At 52.7% G+C, this 17,146-nt stretch overlaps 1 protein-coding gene across 5 annotated transcripts in view, besides 1 other annotated feature; it reads right to left on the reverse strand.

Annotated features, from left to right (window-relative positions):
- Positions 282 to 17,146, reverse strand: part of CACNA1F (calcium voltage-gated channel subunit alpha1 F) — a 28,278-nt gene continuing 11,413 nt past the window's right edge. For 3 of the 5 annotated variants that reach the window (NM_001256789.3, NM_005183.4, NM_001256790.3), the window contains exons 18-48: positions 16,254 to 16,299; positions 15,692 to 15,743; positions 14,853 to 15,009; positions 14,540 to 14,669; positions 14,101 to 14,160; positions 13,848 to 13,954; positions 13,674 to 13,761; positions 13,117 to 13,224; positions 12,974 to 13,026; positions 11,601 to 11,747; positions 10,561 to 10,762; positions 10,305 to 10,463; positions 9,378 to 9,488; positions 9,038 to 9,121; positions 8,193 to 8,213; positions 7,886 to 8,014; positions 7,462 to 7,527; positions 7,117 to 7,208; positions 6,541 to 6,700; positions 6,184 to 6,311; positions 5,809 to 5,905; positions 5,520 to 5,622; positions 5,160 to 5,261; positions 4,848 to 4,978; positions 4,481 to 4,612; positions 3,734 to 3,903; positions 2,224 to 2,331; positions 1,947 to 2,074; positions 1,730 to 1,842; positions 835 to 1,032; positions 282 to 586 (exon numbers count right to left, since the gene is read on the reverse strand). In NM_001256789.3, the coding sequence (NP_001243718.1) occupies positions 356 to 586; positions 835 to 1,032; positions 1,730 to 1,842; positions 1,947 to 2,074; positions 2,224 to 2,331; positions 3,734 to 3,903; positions 4,481 to 4,612; positions 4,848 to 4,978; positions 5,160 to 5,261; positions 5,520 to 5,622; positions 5,809 to 5,905; positions 6,184 to 6,311; positions 6,541 to 6,700; positions 7,117 to 7,208; positions 7,462 to 7,527; positions 7,886 to 8,014; positions 8,193 to 8,213; positions 9,038 to 9,121; positions 9,378 to 9,488; positions 10,305 to 10,463; positions 10,561 to 10,762; positions 11,601 to 11,747; positions 12,974 to 13,026; positions 13,117 to 13,224; positions 13,674 to 13,761; positions 13,848 to 13,954; positions 14,101 to 14,160; positions 14,540 to 14,669; positions 14,853 to 15,009; positions 15,692 to 15,743; positions 16,254 to 16,299 (3,613 nt within the window). In that variant the 3' untranslated portion in view covers positions 282 to 355. Of the gene's footprint in view, positions 587 to 834; positions 1,033 to 1,729; positions 1,843 to 1,946; positions 2,075 to 2,223; positions 2,332 to 3,733; positions 3,904 to 4,480; positions 4,613 to 4,847; positions 4,979 to 5,159; positions 5,262 to 5,519; positions 5,623 to 5,808; positions 5,906 to 6,183; positions 6,312 to 6,540; positions 6,701 to 7,116; positions 7,209 to 7,461; positions 7,528 to 7,885; positions 8,015 to 8,192; positions 8,214 to 9,037; positions 9,122 to 9,377; positions 9,489 to 10,304; positions 10,464 to 10,560; positions 10,763 to 11,600; positions 11,748 to 12,973; positions 13,027 to 13,116; positions 13,225 to 13,673; positions 13,762 to 13,847; positions 13,955 to 14,100; positions 14,161 to 14,539; positions 14,670 to 14,852; positions 15,010 to 15,691; positions 15,744 to 16,253; positions 16,300 to 17,146 lie in introns of those variants that run through there. The other 2 variants (XM_011543983.3, XM_017029836.1) reach the window with 2 other exon arrangements.
- Positions 4,491 to 5,690: an enhancer, noted in NCBI's record as "BRD4-independent group 4 enhancer chrX:49065732-49066931 (GRCh37/hg19 assembly coordinates)". NCBI's record gives its function as "activates an origin of replication core promoter dependent on BRD2, P300/CBP, MED14 and CDK7 cofactors, and independent of BRD4, by STARR-seq in HCT116 cells {active_cell/tissue: HCT116}" and the evidence as "EXISTENCE:reporter gene assay evidence [ECO:0000049][PMID:35650434]".

Below are 17,146 nucleotides of genomic sequence, written 5' to 3' on the forward strand. Positions count from 1 at the left end.
AAGCACCCCTCACACCCGCTCTCTCCCCTTTCCTCCATCTCTGTCCAGTGCCCTCCCCCTCCCCCCTCCTCCACTCTGCCTCCAGCTTTTTTTGGCTGCTGTCTCTTCCTCCTCCTCCTCCTCCTCCCTCCTTCCCTGACGCTGAATAATCAGGCCTGGCTGTCCTGGTTTCTGGAAATACCCGTGTGTGGGCAGTGGCTCAGGGCTAGAACAGGGGATGGATGGATGGGGGCCCCTGGGCAGCCCCAGACCCCCAGTGCAAAGACAACAAAATCCAGGGATGTGGTCCATGCCTGCCTCCTGCTGGGGAGGGGAGGGCAGGAGGTTTATTGAGCAGTTGGGGAGGGGTGGGAATTCAGAGGGCGTGGACGCAGGCCATCTCGTCTCCCAAGTCCTCCTCATCGAAGCGGGAGAGGATGGACTCCTCGTCGCTATAGAGAGAGCTGGTTCCCTGTGCCAGCAGGTCACTGGCAGCATTGTCCATCTCATCCAGCGTCAGGCGACACGCATCTGCAATCTCCTGCTTGGCCAGGGCCACGAAACGTGGGTCTCGAGCAAAGAGGCCCAGACCCTCTGAGATAAGCACCTGGGGGCACAGGTGGGATCAGTGTTGACGGACGGCACAGTGTGCACAGAAGGTTCAGTGTGGATAAATGACGTGCCCATGAGGGCATGTAGGGAAGTCAGTGGGGGACAGGGGTGAGCAGAGGTCGTAGGGCAAAGGGATATCTACATGCACAACACAGGACCTGGGGACTCCTTTCCGTCCTCCTCCAGTACCCACCTCCTCCCCTTCTCCCCCATCCGTCTTGTCTATATGCCCTCTGGACTCACAGCCTCCACCAAGCTGTCGGCACTGCCCCTCTTCCCATGGCTGGGGTCCGAGTGGGTTCCAGGCACGTGCAGACAGGTGAAGGTGCGCAGTGGGCCACTGGATCTGCCGAGGTACCCCTCCCCCGCTGCGCCCTCTTCCACCAACAACAGCGGGGCATACAGGAGCCGACCCCGCTGAGGTGGTGTTGCCCAGGAACCCTGAGCCAGAATAAACATCAGAGGGGCAGGGATGGATGAGTAGGGTATGAGGGTCTAGGACTCACCGCTGTGCCTACTTCTTTCCCTCAGTATACAACTGGAGTGAAATTGAATGGGTATAAGTCAGGCTTGAGTTTATTTATGTAAGAGTGCAGGAGGCCTGGGTTTAAATGTCAGCTCTGCCACTTACTAGCTGCATGATCTGGGGTAAACCTCTCAGGACCTCAGTTTCCTCACAAGTACAGTGAGCATTGTGTGCATTCATTCATATGTGTCCTGTTCTTCAGAAGGCTCTGAGGCCAGGCGCGGTGGCTTATGCCTGTAATCCCAGCACTTTGGGAGGCTGAGACAGGCGGATCACCTGAGGTCAGGGGTTTGAGACCAGCCCGGCCAACATGGTGAAACCCCATCTCTACTAAAAATGCAAAAATTAGCCAGGCATGGTGGTGAGCACCTGTAATCCCAGCTACTTGGGAGGCTGAGGCAGGAGAATTGCTTGGACCCGGGAGGCAGGGGTTACAGTGAGCCAAGATCTCAACACTGTACTCCAGCCTGGGCAGCAGAGCAAAACTCTGTCTCAAAAAAAAAAAAAAAAAAAAAAAAAAAGGGCCTGATATGTGCTGTGTTTGAGAAATTCAGCCTAGGCTGCCCCCATCTCTCCAGACCCCAGACCCCAGCACCACCTCCACAGCCTCACCTGAGCCCTATTGGGCCCTGAATTTCGCCCACGATGATAGGTGCCTGGGATGGGTAAATCCTCACAACTGCCCTGGCGCTGCAGACACTGGATGGTGAAGGAGGGCTTCCGACCTGGGGGTGGGTGGGGCACCAGGGGCAAATAGCAATGTCAGTGCTTCCCCAGATCTCTGTCCTGCAGGCCCGTGGGGGCCCCTTGGATCCATCCCTGCTCTCACCTGCAGGTGTGGGGGGCAGCAGACGGCGGCGTGGTACCAGGTGCCCATCCATGTATCTCTGAGCTCTGTGAGGTGGCAAAAGGACTGAGCACGGGGGAGTCCCTGCCTGCTCATCTAGGTAGGAAAGCCTGTGTGGGTGGGAGGGCCAGGGGTGAACTTGGGTCTGGGCCTGGACCTGGGCCTGGGAGATGGGGCACAAACAGTCCTCCCCGACCCAGTTCCCACCCCTCCTCCACCCCAGCTCATGGGTTCATCCCATGTGGCATGGCCAGTGTACCGATCAGGGACTTCCTCATCCTCATCTTGCTTGTTTTGCCCTTTGGTTCCCTTGGGCTGAGAATTTCCTTCTTCTGGGATGGTGAAAATGAGAGCCCCAGAGCCTCTCCTGGGGAAAGGGAGGCACGTTAGGCAGACCAGATCCCTCAATATGTGGCCCTGGACCCCTGGTTCCTCTCATCCCATGCCCCAACCCTTACAGAAACACTGGGCTTTTGGATTTTTTTGTTGAGGACAAGTCACATAAAATTAACCATTAACCATTTTAAAGTGACCATGGGCTTTTGTTTAATAGATGTTCATCTAATTAGGACTGAAAGTTTCAAAAAAATCAAAGTTGACCTGTAGAGAGACACCTTGAACACAAAACTGGGCATGTATTAGGAGTGGGGGGAGCCTGTAAAAGCTAGGCACTTTATTTTTTTATTTCTATTTTTTATTTTCTGAGACGAGGTCTTACTCTGTCACTTAGGCTGGAGTGCAGCGGCATGATCTCAGCTCACTGCAGCCTCAACCTCCCAGGCTCAATTTATCCTCCCACCTCAGCCTCCCAAGTAGCTGGGACTACAGGCATGTGCCACCATGCTCGGCTATTTTTTTATTTTTTGTATGGACGGGGTCTCATTATGTTGTGCAGGCTGGTCTTGTACTCCTGGGCTCAAGCGATCCTCCCACCTTGGCCTCCCAAAGTGCTGGGATTACGAGTGTGAGCCACCGTGCCTAGGCAAGCTAGACACTCTGAAATTTTTTTTTAAAATTTTTCTTTAATCTGCTTATGTATTGTCTAGCAGCTAAGTGTTTGACATGCATTACCTCATTTCATCCTTTCTTTATCCCTGTGAAGTAAGTGCTTTGTCATCCCCCTTAAACAGGTGAGGAAACTGAGGCTCATAGAAACGAAGTGACTAGGCAGGGCACGGTGGCTCAAGCTTGTAATCCCAGCACTTTGGGAGGCTGAGGTGGGCAGATCACCTGAGGTCAGGAGTTCGAAACCAGCCTGGCCAACATGGCAAAACCTCGTCTCTACTGAAAAAAAAAAAAAAAATTAGCCTGGCATTATGGCGCACGCCTGTAATCCCAGCTACTCGGGAGGCTCAGGCAGGAGAATCGCTTGAACCCGGGAGGCAGAGGTTGCAGTGAGCCGAAATTGTGCCACTGCACTCCAGCCTGGGAGACAGAGCGGGACTCTGTCTCAAAAAAAAAAAAAAAAAAAAAGTGATTAGCTCAAGGTCACTTAGCAAATGGCAGAGGCAGAATGTGAACTGAAACTCTTGGTTTCACACAATGTGCTTTTTGCATTAAACCTTTGTATTGCCTTTCTCATATGAATCTCTTATCACCCTCTATTCTTACCTGAGCCCTTGAAACACCTCCATTCTTCCCAAATTTCTGCTTGAAGGCCTCTAGGCCCTCCCTCCCACCCCCCTCAACTTCCTGCCTCCTGAATTGCCTCTATCCAGTGTCTAGTCCTTGCCTTCCCTCACAATCTACTTCCAGACACTTGATAATACCTGTGGGTGTTGGATCCAGCCTGGGGCACACTGGGCTGACTGGAGGTGGGAGTCCCCCTGTCATCATCACTGGGCCCAAAGGAGAGTGAATCTGGAAGTCTGTCCCCGACAGGCAGAGACACAGAAATCCCGGAGCCCCGGCGAGCTGAGGGCTGGGAGACCATCGTGGCCTGTGGAGAGTCACAGGACTGAGTGTTGCATGCACTTTGTGGCTAAGTCATTTGGTCATATAACATGTCTCCCCCACAGGTCCATGAATGTGGGCCTTGCCCTCCAACAGCAATGGTAAATGTCAAATAAATAAATACGTAAATAAATAAATAAATATTTGCGATAGGGTCTTGTCCTGTCACCAGGCGGGAGTGCAGTGGCATGATCACAGCTCACTGTGGCCTCATCCTCCCAGGTTCAAGCAATCCTCCTGCCTCAGCCTCCCAAGTAGCTGGGACTACAGGCTTGCACCACCACTCCTAGCTAATTTTTAAATTTTTTTGTAGAGAGGCGGTTTCACTATTTTGCCAGGACTGGTCTTGAACCCTAGGGTTCAAGCGATCCTTCCACCCTGGACTCCCAAAGTGCTGGGATTATAGGCATGAGCCACCACTCCCAGCCTCAAATAAATATTTTTCTATTGCAGAGGGGGCTTCTCTGGGGGAGCTTCTTCCCAGAAGCAGTGTCAAAATCACTCAGGGGATTGACGAAGTATTTTACAATCAAGTTCCTGGGAGAGTGAAAACTTGTCCCCACTTTGTTAGTTTCCAAGTCCTTTTCATCTTCCTCCTCCACTCCCTCCTGCCCCTCTTCTTCCTCCTCCTCTGTGTCACAGGTGAGGGCCTGCCGCATCTCAGGACCCAAGTCCTGCAGGCTCCGCAGACCAGCCTGTGGGGGTGGAGAAATAGGTAAGCAGGCAGCTCAGGGTCTGAACTTTCCCTCTGTTTCCCCTGCAGGCGGGTAGGGTGGGGGAAGGAGTCCTTCAGCCACCCTGGCCCTCCGTGAGGCCTGGGGCCTCAGTTTCCTTATCTGTGACATGGGTTTCACAAGATCAAAATGGGGGTCAGCCTCAGCCACAGCACTGCCACACGTGCCCATCCACACTAGGCCCTGCCCCGAAGACCTGAAGGGCGGAAGAGGTGCTAGGGGCGGCGTCGTTGCCTAGTAGCCCTTTTTCTTTCCTCCGCCGGAATTTGCGGAAATAGTCCTGGATCAGAAATGTGGCGTAGAATTTGCCCACGGTGACCTCCTCCTCTAGGGGCAAGGGAGAGAAGGCAAGATCACACAGGGGCCCTCTGACCCAGCCCACCTCGCCGCCTCTCTACCCACCAGCATGGACTTCCCCTCGCCCTCTGCCCAGCGCTGGTTTTGTGGTGGAGAGCGATCATCTGCCATTCAGGGGCTGGCGCGGGGAACTGGGGCGGGGATAGCTCACCGTCTGGTGGGGGGATGACCTCATCTAGCAGCTTCTGTTTCATCCGCTTCCAGATCTTTTTGATGACAATCCGCAGCTCCTGGTTGGCTTGCTCCAGGTTCCCTGCGTTGGAGGAGGATGTGGGGCATGAGCCAATAGGAAGAACCTCCACAGCTGCCCCCTCACTGTTGGGTGGGGGGAACTTCACAAGCTGCTACCGCAGATGCACACCGCCCCCATTGGACGGGGTGGGGGGAAACAGGCCTGGAGAATCCTGTCACCCATTCTGGGGTTCAGAGCTAGGAGTGGGGCCCATGATTCAATGAGTTTGCTCCTTGCACCCTCCCCAGGAACGATCCCACTCCTGCCCCTCCCCTACACCTTCTGTTTTGATCTTCAGGGATGTCCGGACCAGGGCAAAGAGTGTGGCGTTGAATGTCACCGTCCCATCTGAGTTGAGGGGCATGTTCATTGCCACAAGTCTCTGCAAACACGAGAGACATGAAACCCACTCTGGGAAAATGCCGGGTATGCAGGAACGAATGTCAAGGGGCAGAAACCTCTGAGGATGCGATCAAACACCCCTCCCCACCCAAGGCAGATCCCTTCCCACCCTTGCCATGTGATAGACAGTTCTCTCAGGAGCCTGGGGGTGGGCAGGTGCACAGACCTTGCAGGCCACTCGGTGTGGGCACAGCTTCCCAAATCCCAGAGGGGGCTGGATACGTCTCAGCAGGGCAACCACATCCAAGTGTTTGATGCGGCCCCTGGAGGAGTTGGGGAGGTACCACTGGATTGGCGATGCCCCCACTAGCCCTTTCTCAAGGCCCCACCAGCTCATCACTACCTCCTCCTACCAATACCCCAGAGCTTGCCAGGGAAGAACTGGAGGGCAGTCAGAGAGGGCAGAGGATGGGGCAGTGGAAACTTTGGGGCATCTATTGACTGGGTAATGAGATGCAGCAGTCGGAGGTTTGGGGGCTAGGGGACTGTGTAGGGCAATACATTGTCCCCTGGATTCTAGGTAAGGGTATAGAGGGCATACTTGGCCCCAGGGTCATATTCAGACCAGATCCTCTTGAATTCATCAAGGTGATGGGGGCCCAGGATGGACCAATCTCTGGTGAGATAATCAAAGTTGTCCATGATCACAGCCACAAAGAGATTTATGATCTGTGGGCCAGTGAGCAAGGGAGCAGTTAGGTGAAGGGCAGAACACTGTCATGGACGGATGGTGGGAGGCTGGGGCGGGCTTATATGGTCATGAGTCTCTGGGTTGATCTTGTCATCAGACCAGCCCTCTCACCCACTATGAAGATCTGGGCTGCCCACGTCACATCCCTGAGCCCCTCAGGGCCAGCCCCCGTGACGGTGGTGGTGGTTGTGAGGAAATGGTTCTCACCAGGAAGGCACAGAGCATGAAGAAGCTGATGAAATAGGCGATGGCAAAATTGCTACCACAGGTAAACTCTTCACCAGGGCCGAAGTCAGACTCAGGATCACACCGATTTCCGGGAAGGCTGGCAAGCATTATCTCCTGCCATGCCTCACCAGTGGCACACCTGGTGGGAGTCACACAGGGGTAGCATCCTGAAGGGGAGGCTATGAAGTCATGGTAAATGGAGTTGGGGGAGGACTGGGGAATGAGGAGATGACCTACTTCTCACCAGGGGCTACATCTGGCACAGATAACATTTCAATATTTTAACAGCCAGTGTGGCCATGTTGACGACAGTCATGTTTGCATCTTACAGATGAGGCACTGAGACCTGAGAAGGGGAGGCGTCTTACAGTCAGAAAGAAAATGGCTGAGGCTAGAATACTCTAACAGACTCCTCACATCATAGCCAGGAAACATCTCGGGCTGTATGGAGCCCCATGCTGCCATATTATTCCCATAGCTCAAGCAGTCTGGGGCTCAGAGAGGGTGGGTGGGCACCCACGGGCATAAGGTGGCAGGGGAGTGAGTAGATGTCACCTGAACAGAAGCAGCACAGCCTGTGGAAAGGTCTGGAAGTTGTTGTTTCGGTTTATCTGTGTGCCATCCTGAAGAGCCACCTTGCCGAACATCTGTGGACACATCAAGGCTGTGTCAGTGGGGTGAACCCATGCCCCACCCATTTCACACCTCCTAATACCTAAAGGAGCCTCATAACCCTGACAAACAGGGCATCACTGCTGATCTCATTTCACAGATGTGTAGATTGACCCAGGGCCGTCCAGCTTGTCTGTCTACCTGCCACCCCTACTTTGGGGCTATTCTTAACCCATCCCCTGCCAGCAGAGGAGTGCTTAAGGGATGCTTCCTAGGGTCCCCACTTGCCTGCATGCCAATGACGGCATAGATGAAGAATATCATTGCGATGAGAAGAGCCACATAGGGCAAGGCCTATAGGGATGGGGGAGGGGGGCAGAGAATAGATGCACAGGCTCAGGCAAAGAACTATAAGCCCCAGAATGCACTGCTTTCCCTGGCCTGGGCCTACTGGGAGATGCAGTCCATCTCCAAAGTGCCAAGGACTGTGGTGTCTCTCAAATGTGAACATAGTGTTAAGTAGATAGAGTAAGGTCAGTGAGACCAGAGGTGTGTTGGAAACTGAGAGCCCAGAAAAAAGAGAAAATTGGAATAATAATTTGGAAATGGGTATGGCATGTTGGGAGATGTAGTTCTGAGGGTGGTAAAGGGGCAGGCTGAGAAGTGTGAAATGGGGGCGAGGTATGGTCAAAGGGATGGGGTAGGGGATTACCTGGAAGGACTTGATGAATGTCCAGAGCAATGTGCGGATCCCTTCACCCTTACTGAGAAGCTTGACCAGCCGCATAACTCGGAAGAGGCGAAAGAAGGTAATGGAAATGCGGGAGCTGTCCTCAGAGCTCTGGGGTGAGGGGTGCAGTAGGGATGCTCAGTTTGCATTTACTCCAGCTATCTCCCTATCTCATGCTTTGGCCCTCCCAGTACCCAAATCACTCAGGCCCTAGGGTAATCTGGAGGGATGGAGGGACAGAGGGACATGGGAAAAGAAGCAGAGAGTCCCTGTTATTAGGGTGGGCTACCTCGCCAAGGTGGCCACCATTCTGGAGGGAGATATGGCCAAGAAAAAGGTGATACAGGAGATGATGACATCATAGGCCCAAATGAACAAGGTGAGATATGATGGAGCAGATATAGGGGGTGATGGTGGGGTCATTACACAGGGGACAATGGGAAAGTTTATATGGTAGTGGATTAGGATTAGGAAAAAGTGGGTAATGGGAATGGAAGGGAGAGGAGAGAGTAAAGGAGGTGATGGATCAGAGACATTGGAGCCAATAGAGGAAATGATGGAACCAGTGGTGTCATAGAGATGATGGAGATGAGAGAACCGATGGAGAAGCCAATGGAGAAGCCAGTGATGGAGATAGGGAACCAGCAGCGTTGTCAGTTGAGGTGACAGAACCATGTAGTACCCAATGGAGGTGATGGAGCCAATGATATAGTCAATGGTGATGACAGAGCCATGAAAGAGCCAGTGTCAGAGATGATGAAGTTGGTGGAGAAATGAAGCCAATGAAGTCATCAGAAAAGATGGAGCCAAAGCAGGAGCCAGTGAACATGACGGAGCCAATGGATGGGGGATGTAGAGGCAATGAAAGAGATAACAGAAATAACAGGAGAGGCATTTCAGGAGATGGTGGAGCCAGTAGATAGGTTACAAAATGGAATGAGAAAGCCAGTAGAGGGGGACTTTTGCTGAACCCAACAGGGACTCAGAAGAGATAGAGCTAGAATGAGGACTGAGTCTCCAGGAGTAGGGAGGATGTGCGTGGGAGCCACCCACCCACGTGAAAGGGAACCCCGGGATAGAGGTGAGGGAAGGTGTATAGGGCGAGAGTGGATTAGTGGAAAGGCCAGTTCTCACATTGACTTCAGTGACGGCAATATCCACTATGCTGCCCACCACAATAAGAGCGTCAAACGTGTTCCAGGCATCAGTGAAGTAATGCTGCAAGTAGGAGAAAAGCAGTGCCCTGTCTTCTCAAAGCTCGCAAGCCAGGGTAGGGGGCCAGTAGTAGTAGGGGGCGCCGGAGGGGGGCAGGGCTTCGCTTGGATCACACGATGGGCCTGCACCTGAGTCCCTCTCACTCCCTAGACTCACACTCCCTGGCTGCTGCCCGCATCGCCAACCCCAGAGCTCTGCAATGAGCTCCACTCCCAAGGAATTCATCCACTGGTGGGTGGGGCTAGAGAAGGGGGGCCACCTTGGGCTTGAAGGCGATGATTTTGAGCACCATCTCAATAGTGAAGAGGCCAGTGAAGACCATGTTGAGGATGTCCATGGCATAGTTGAAGGGAGCAGTCTGCTCATAGTGCTGCAGGAGAAAATCAGGTTGAGATGGAGCCTGAGGCAGAGATGCCGCCACACCCAACCAAATATTCCCTGGCCTGGGCTGAGACGAGTCTGGGGACTTGATTGCACTGTGTATTGGTCAAACCTCTTGCACTGTCTGCCTCCCATTATGGATACTGGAAAGTTTAGTTCTTGATTACTAGCTTTTCTTGTAGTTAGGCAAGGCCAGGTTGACTAGTGAGACATAAACATAAATCTGCTGTTGGTTAGCAGCTTGTGTAAAAAAAATTTTGCTTTCCGATGAAAGGATCAAATAAGGAGAGGCCCCAGGTGCAGCTCTCCCTGCCTTGAGTGTGGTTTTGATGCCTGGAGCTGTGATCATGAAACAACAATCATGAAAATGAATGCCAACTTGCTAAGAATGGTGAAGCAGAAAGATAGAGCATGGGTCCCGGATGAACAATGAACAAACAGCCTACCTCTGCACTTCTCAATACATGAGGTAATTACCACAGTTCATTGACTCCAGGAGGCACATCTTTTTACATTTTAGAATCTCTGAAATTGGGGCGCATTTTATAACAAATGGCAACTTACAATGGCCACTGGCTACTTTTTTTTTTTTTTCCACATTCTTACATCTCCGAAATCAGAATGCAACTTACAAGTACTGGCCATAGACTTAAAGAAATGTGGCAAATGTCTTTATAGCTTAAGTTGCTGTTAGTTGGCAGGGGGTTTGTTATTTGCAGCCTTAAATGTTCCCAATGGTTCCCAAGGGATTATGTGGAGATAATAGGGTCAGGAGTCTGGCGGGGGTCAGGCAGGGATCTCAGACCTGCATGGCTAGGGCAACTGTGTTGAGCAGGATGAGCAGGAACATCAGGTACTCAAAGGCAGCAGAGTTCACAGTGGCCCACACACGATACTGATGCGGGTTCTTGGGGATGTAACGGCGGAGTGGCTGGGCCTTGAGGGCATATTCCACACATTGACGCTGCATACCAGGGCAGGGCATGAGTGAGCAGTGGGGTCCTGAGGCAAGGAGGGAAGGGTTGGTGACCATCCATAGGGGGTCAGGGGTCAGAGGTCACCTGGTTCTTGTCCAGCTCACAGTTTTGGTACTCCTGCTCGCCCTGGGCACGGAAAGTGATGATGACGAAGCCCACGAAGATGTTCATCATGAAGAACGCAATGATGATGATGTAGACAATGAAGAACACTGAGATCTCCACACGGTAATTATAGATGGGGCCGTGGTCCTCTGCATATGCATCGATGGCCTTGTATAGCAGTCTGTGGGAGCCAGAGGGGGGGTAGAGGTGGGGGCAGGTGAGGGGATATCCCAGCCCCCTCAGACCTGCCCCCAGTCTACTTATCACAGACACCCCAGAGTTTCCTGCCTGGCACCCCAAAGACCCCTAAATCTCCTGACCTAACCACCTGGGACCTCCATACATACTCTAAGAGACCTCTACCAGGCCCTCAAAGAGTCCAAATCCTCTGTCCCATGCCCTCAGAAACCCCCATAGAGTCCTCCAGAGAATCTCCATTCAGAACCTCAAAGACCCAGAAATCCCCTAAGTTTCCACAGACCTTCAAATCCCCTTCTCCAACCACTTGGAGACCCCCATGCGCCTCCCCAGAACTTCCACACAAGCCCCCAACGATCTGTAAATTTATCCCTGTCCCATCAACTTGAATCCCCACTCCATCTCCCCACAGAGCCCCACAATGAGTATCCCAAAGACCTGCACAGCTTTCTAGAAATCGCTGAATCCCTGCTTCATCTCTTCAGAGACCAATCCCAGTCCCCTCAGACCTCCACTCTGTCCCCCCAAACCATCTCCAATCCTTTCCAGGCTTCTATCTAGCTACCTAGTCCCTTAGAAACCGCTGTCCAATTCCTGGAGACCCCTCACTCAAGTCCCCAAAGAACCCCCACCCAGCTTCTGGGAACTCCACCTCTACAGTCCTCTGATACACCCACCACTCTCCAGAAAACCCTATCCAGTCTCGAGAGACCTTCGTCACATCCCCAAGGTACACTCCCACCCATTCCCAGGAGATCCCAACCCAATCCTGCAGAGACCCCTGCCTCATCCCCTGATAAACCCAGGGCCCTGTCCCTCACGCAGGCCAGCCTTCAAAGGTGGAGACAGTGAACAGGGCCATCATGGCTGAAAGGACATTGTCAAAGTTGAAATCACTGTTGACCCAGAGCCGCTCCCGGACCAGGGGCCGTGACACGTCTCCATCTGGGTATACCAGGAAGGAGCCCCTGTGGATGTGCAAACAGGTTAGATGGGTGAGGAGGGGTGAGGAACTGGGGAAAGGGTCTGGGGTCTCCAGCATGGAGGCAGCAGGACATAGTGGTGGAGCAATATGTTCTAGGTTCAAATCCTGTCCCTCCATGTCCTGGCTGGGTGACCTTGCGCATTTACCCTTTCTGTGCTTCTGTTTCCCCATTCTAAGAAATAAGGATAATAACAGAATCGATTTCCTGGCTTGTCACAAGGATTAATAAATGTCACAAGTCAATAAATGAGACTAGTGTCTGGCACATAGTTGGCATCATTTCATCATCACCATTATCATCCTCATCATCGCCCACCAGGAAAAAGTAAAACGAATAATAGCCAACGTTTATTAGCAGTAACTATATGCCAGGCACTGAACTAGATTTTCTTTTTCTTCTCTTCTTTTCTATTCTCTCTTTTTTTTTGAGACGGAGTCTTGAAAAAGACTCTGCCCAGGCTGGAGTGCAGTGGCATGATCTTGGCTCACTGCAACCTCCGCCTCCCGGGTTCAAGCGATTCTCCCTCCTCATCTTCCCGAGTAGCTGGGATTACAGGTGCACAACACCAAGCCCAGCTAATTTTTGTATTTTTAGTGGAGACGGGGTTTCACCATGCTGACTAGGCTGGTGTCGAACTCCCAACCTCAGGTGATCTGCCTGCCTTGGCCTCCCAAAGTGCTGGGATTACAGGCGTGAGCCACAGCGCCCGGCCCAAGCTAGGTTTTCTGTGTAGCAACTTTACATTGTACAAAGTACATTTTCCATGTAGTAGCTCATTTACTCTTCACAACAGCCTTGTGAGATAGGCACTGTTTAGCCCCGTTTTTCAGTTGAGTGAAATGGAACTGAGTAAGTTTAAGAAATGTACCTAAGTCTCATGAAGTGGATTTGAACCGTAATGTCTGACTTCACAGCCCAGGCTTTTAGCTACTACCCTCTACAGGAGTCTCAAGATGGAAGCTGGGGGCTCAGGGTGGGAATGGTGATTGCTAATGGGTCTGGAGTGGAATGTAGGTCACTTGGGGAATGCGGAGAGGGATTTGGGGGAGGTATCGGGGGGCCGCCGAAGACTTGGTGAGATCTGAGGGCCTCTGCAGTTCTTGGGACAATTCTGGGACTATATCTTTGGGCCTTGGTGAGATCTAGAGGCTCTAAAGTCTTTGGGAGGGGTCCTGAGCTCCGTGGACGGCAGGGTCTTGGGCACTCACTTGCATTCTTGAGGGGTGTGTTTGGCCTCGTCCGTGCAGGTGTAGAATTTCCCCTGTAGAGAGGATGTCTGTCAAGTAGGTTCACCCTTCATCACACTCCCGCCCAGACCCCTGCCTGGCATTCCCTCCAGTGTTTGCCCCACCTTGAAGAGCTGCACCCCGATGCAGGCGAACATAAATTGCAGAAGTGTGGTGACAATCATGATGTTTCCGATGGTCCGGATGGCCACAAATACACACTGCACCACATGCTGCGGGCACCCAAGCATATGGCTACTGAACACTACAGGCCACAGTGGTCATGGGGCAGGGACTCTGGTCATAGATGCAGCTGAGGGACTTGGGCTGGGGACATGTGGTGATGGGTCAGGGATGTATGGTTAGCAACATGTGTTCAAGAGGCAGTGTTATGGGCTAGAGACGTGTGGGCATCCACCAGGAATAAGTGTTTGCCGGGTGGGGATCTGTGGCCACCTGTCAGGGAGCTGGGTCTGAGAAATGTGGCCACTGGTAGAAACATATGGTCACTTGGAAGGAACATGGGTCAGGCCACATGGCTAGTGGTCAGAGATGTGTATTTATGTGTCAGGTCCAGGCCGTATGGTCATGCATCCGTGCAAATGGTCAGTTTGATCAGTGATCCTGGCCCCAGGGGCAGGGCAGGGCCTGGGTCCTGTGGGTTTGGGTGGGGTGGGGTTACCTTGAGTCCCTTGGCCCTGTTGATGGCTCGGAGGGGCCGCAGTACTCGGAGTACTCGCAGAATCTTCACCACCGAGATGGCGCTGGAGCTGGGGAAGGGGCAATCCTCAGGCATTGGCCCTGGCTGGGCCCTGGCTGTGAGAGGAATGGGGTGGGCTGGGGATCTGTCACTTACTGGATGCCAAAGGAGATGAGGGACACACTGACCACCAGCAGATCCAACATATTAAACCAGCTACGGCAGAAGGAGCCGCGGTGCAGGAAGGCCCCAAACACTGTCATCTGGGGACAGGACAAGAGGCTAGACTCAGACCTGGGGATGGTGGGGGTTGGGGGAGGTGGGGATGGGGACAGGAGAGGTGGGCTGCAAGAACCGGTGGGGAGAGTGCCAGGGCAACTGAGGGTAGGACTGGGGTCCCATTAGTCACCTTTAGTAGAATCTCCACAGTGAAAATGGAGGTGAAGGCATAATCGAAGTAACCCAGAATCTGGGGTGTGAGAAAGAGCGGGGAGCCACTGAGTCACGGCTGAGGGGGATCCTAGGTGACTTCTCAAAAGGCTTGGCCATCAGAAAGATTAGGGTTCAAATTTGGACCCTTCTGCCTCTACCCAGCTACATGGGCGCCTTTGGCCTGCTTAACCTCTCTGAGCACAGCTTCCTCCTCAGTCAAATATTGATCTCCTCCCTGGTGCTTCCCCGTGTGTTGCACATGCCGTAAAGGCTGGCATTGCATCAGCTGCGTTAATGAGCCCCTCTCTCGGCTCACCTAGGGCTCTTCTCCTTATCTCCACCCTGACCCAGCTTGTGCCCACTAGGACACCCCTGGGAGTGTCCCCTCAGCTCCTAGCTCCCAGCCAAAGGCTCACATGGTTGCGGAAGGAGTGGGCTCGGATGGGGTCCTCAGCGGCCAGGGACACACTGCTGAGGATGATGAACACCAGGATAAGATTGGTGAAGACATGATGGTGGATGAGGGTGTGGCAGCCCTTCCTCAGCCTGTGGAGAGGGAGTGGGCCATGGTCAGAACTCAGGACCACAGAATTGTTCAGGGATTCCAAGGGATACAGTTCTGGCCCTGACACAACACCCATGCCCCCACTCCCACCTTGGCTGCTCCTCCATGCTCCTCCACCTGCCCTAGCCCCTCCTGCCTCACCCCCTGCCACTTCCGGCACTCACGGGTTGGTTTGGCTGAGGCAGAAGAAGGCGCTGCCCTCAGGGATGGGTACCACCTTCTCCTTGGGTACAACTTCCTGCAGGAGTTCCACACCCCCTGCACCCTCTTCCTCTTCTTCCTCTTCTTCCTCTTCTTCCTCCTCCTCCTCCTCCTCCATGTCTGGCACCAGAGAAAAGCAAAAAAAAATTAATTGAGCAAGTTGATGTAAAGCACCCAGAACAGTGTTTGCCACGTGGTCAATTCTTCCCATTTCCCTGCTAGAATGTCAGCTCCTCCAGGAAGGTATTTTAGTCTGTTTTGTATGCTGCTATGTCCACAGCACTTAGAACAGTGCCTGGGACACAGTAGGAGCTCAGTAAATGTGTGTTGAAAGAATGTTGTATATACAGACTATTTTATAATAAAGGCTCTGAGAAGTTCAGCAGTAAACAAAACGTGTTTCTCTTCTTCTTGTTTTTCTTTAAAGATAGGGTCTTACTCTGCTCCCCCAGGCTGGACTTCAGTGGTGCCATCATGGCTCACTGCAACCTTGAACTTCTGGGCTCAAGCAATCCTCCTACCTTAGCCTCCTGAGTAGCTGGGACTACAGGCTTGCATCATCATGCTTGGCTAATTAATTTCTTTTTTAGAGATGGGGTCTTGCTATGTTGCCCAGGCTGCATTTCCCTTCTTTAACCTCAATGTTCCCAAATGTTGCTGACCACATACCAAGTCTGTTATTTTCAGGATGATCTTGGAAAAGGCTGATCTCTGGAGAGGAGGGTCTCAGGGGTCAGGAGCTGTCTGCCTGAGCTCTTTCCCCAAGGTCCCACACCTGCTCCACCTGGCCCTGCCCACTTGCCTGCTCCTTCCCTCCTTGCACCCTCCTCTTCCTCTTTCTCCACACCAGGCACCTGAGGACAGGAAGACGGGAGTCATCAATGGTGAGGGAGACACAGGGAATGGACACAGGGGAGGCATGGAAGAAATGTAATAATAGGGGAAAGAATAGGCAGAGGATGAAGGTTAAAGACATGCACATATGGCTGGGCGCAGTGGCTCATGCCTGTAATCCCAGCACTTTGGGAGGCTGAGGCAGGTGGATCACTTGAGGTCAGGAGTTCGAGACCAGCCTGGCCAACATGGTGAAACCCTGTCTCTTTCAAAAATAACAAAAATTAGCCGAGTGTGGTGGCGCATGCCTGTAAATCCCAGCTACTTGGGAGGCTGAGGCAGGAGAATCTCTTGGACCCAGGAGGCAGAGGTTGCAGTGAGCCGAGATGGCACAACTGCACTCCAGCCTGGGCGACAGAGTGAGACTCTATCTCAAAATAAAACAACAACAACAAAAAAACAGATATGCACACATAGACAGGTAGTGGTGGGAGTGGGAGGTGTAGACAGTGCCCAGGCATCTAACTCACCAGGCCTTCATTCTCCTGTGGGAGATCCTTCTCATTGCTCTTCTCCCTGTGCGAGGAAATAGGGGTGATTGCTGCAGATGGGCTAAGGGAGATCACTACAGTCAGAACAGACCTTTCTTGGGTCCCATAGAACTTTCTTGCTTCCGCTCTTCCCCACTGCCCCTCCCAACAGTCCGTTCTCAAAGCAGCCAGAGGGAGCCTGTTAAACCCTGTCTGGGATATCCCAACTCTGCCCACAACCCTCCCACGTCTCCTTAATTCAGGAAAAACTACAGTCCTCACCCTGGCCCAGAATGCCCTCAATCTGGCCCTCCATTTCCTCCACTGACCTTCACTCCATACCACTCTCCTCCTTCCTCACTCCATTCCAGCCTCACTGTTTTTATTTTTTTGAGACGGAGTCTCACTCTATTGCTCAGGCTAGAGGGCAGTGGTGCGATATTGGCTCACTGCAACCTCCGCCTCCTGGGTTCAAGCGAGCTTGTCCAGCTAATTTTCTTTTGTATTTTTAGTAGAGACAGGGTTTCACCATATTGGCCAGGCTGGCCTCGAACTCCTAAGCTCAGGTGATCCACCCTCCTCGGCCTCCCAAAGTGCTGGGATTACAGGCGTGAGCCACTGCTCCCGGGCATCGCTGGTATTTTTTGAAAGTGCTAAGAATGTGGTCAGGTGCGGTGGCTCACGCCTGTAATCTCAGCACTTTGGGAGGCTGAGGCGGGTGGATCACCTGAGGTTAGGAGTTCAAGACCAGCCTTGCCAACATGGTGAAACCCCATCTCTACTAAAAATACAAAAAAATTTAGCTGAGCGTGGTGGTGTACGTCTGTAATCCCAGCTACTCAGGAGGTTGAGGCAGGAGAATTGCTTGAACCTGGGTGGCGGAGGTTGCAGTG

This window comes from Homo sapiens, chromosome X, assembly GCF_000001405.40.
Source record: "Homo sapiens chromosome X, GRCh38.p14 Primary Assembly".
Taxonomy (NCBI): Eukaryota; Metazoa; Chordata; class Mammalia; order Primates; family Hominidae; genus Homo; species Homo sapiens.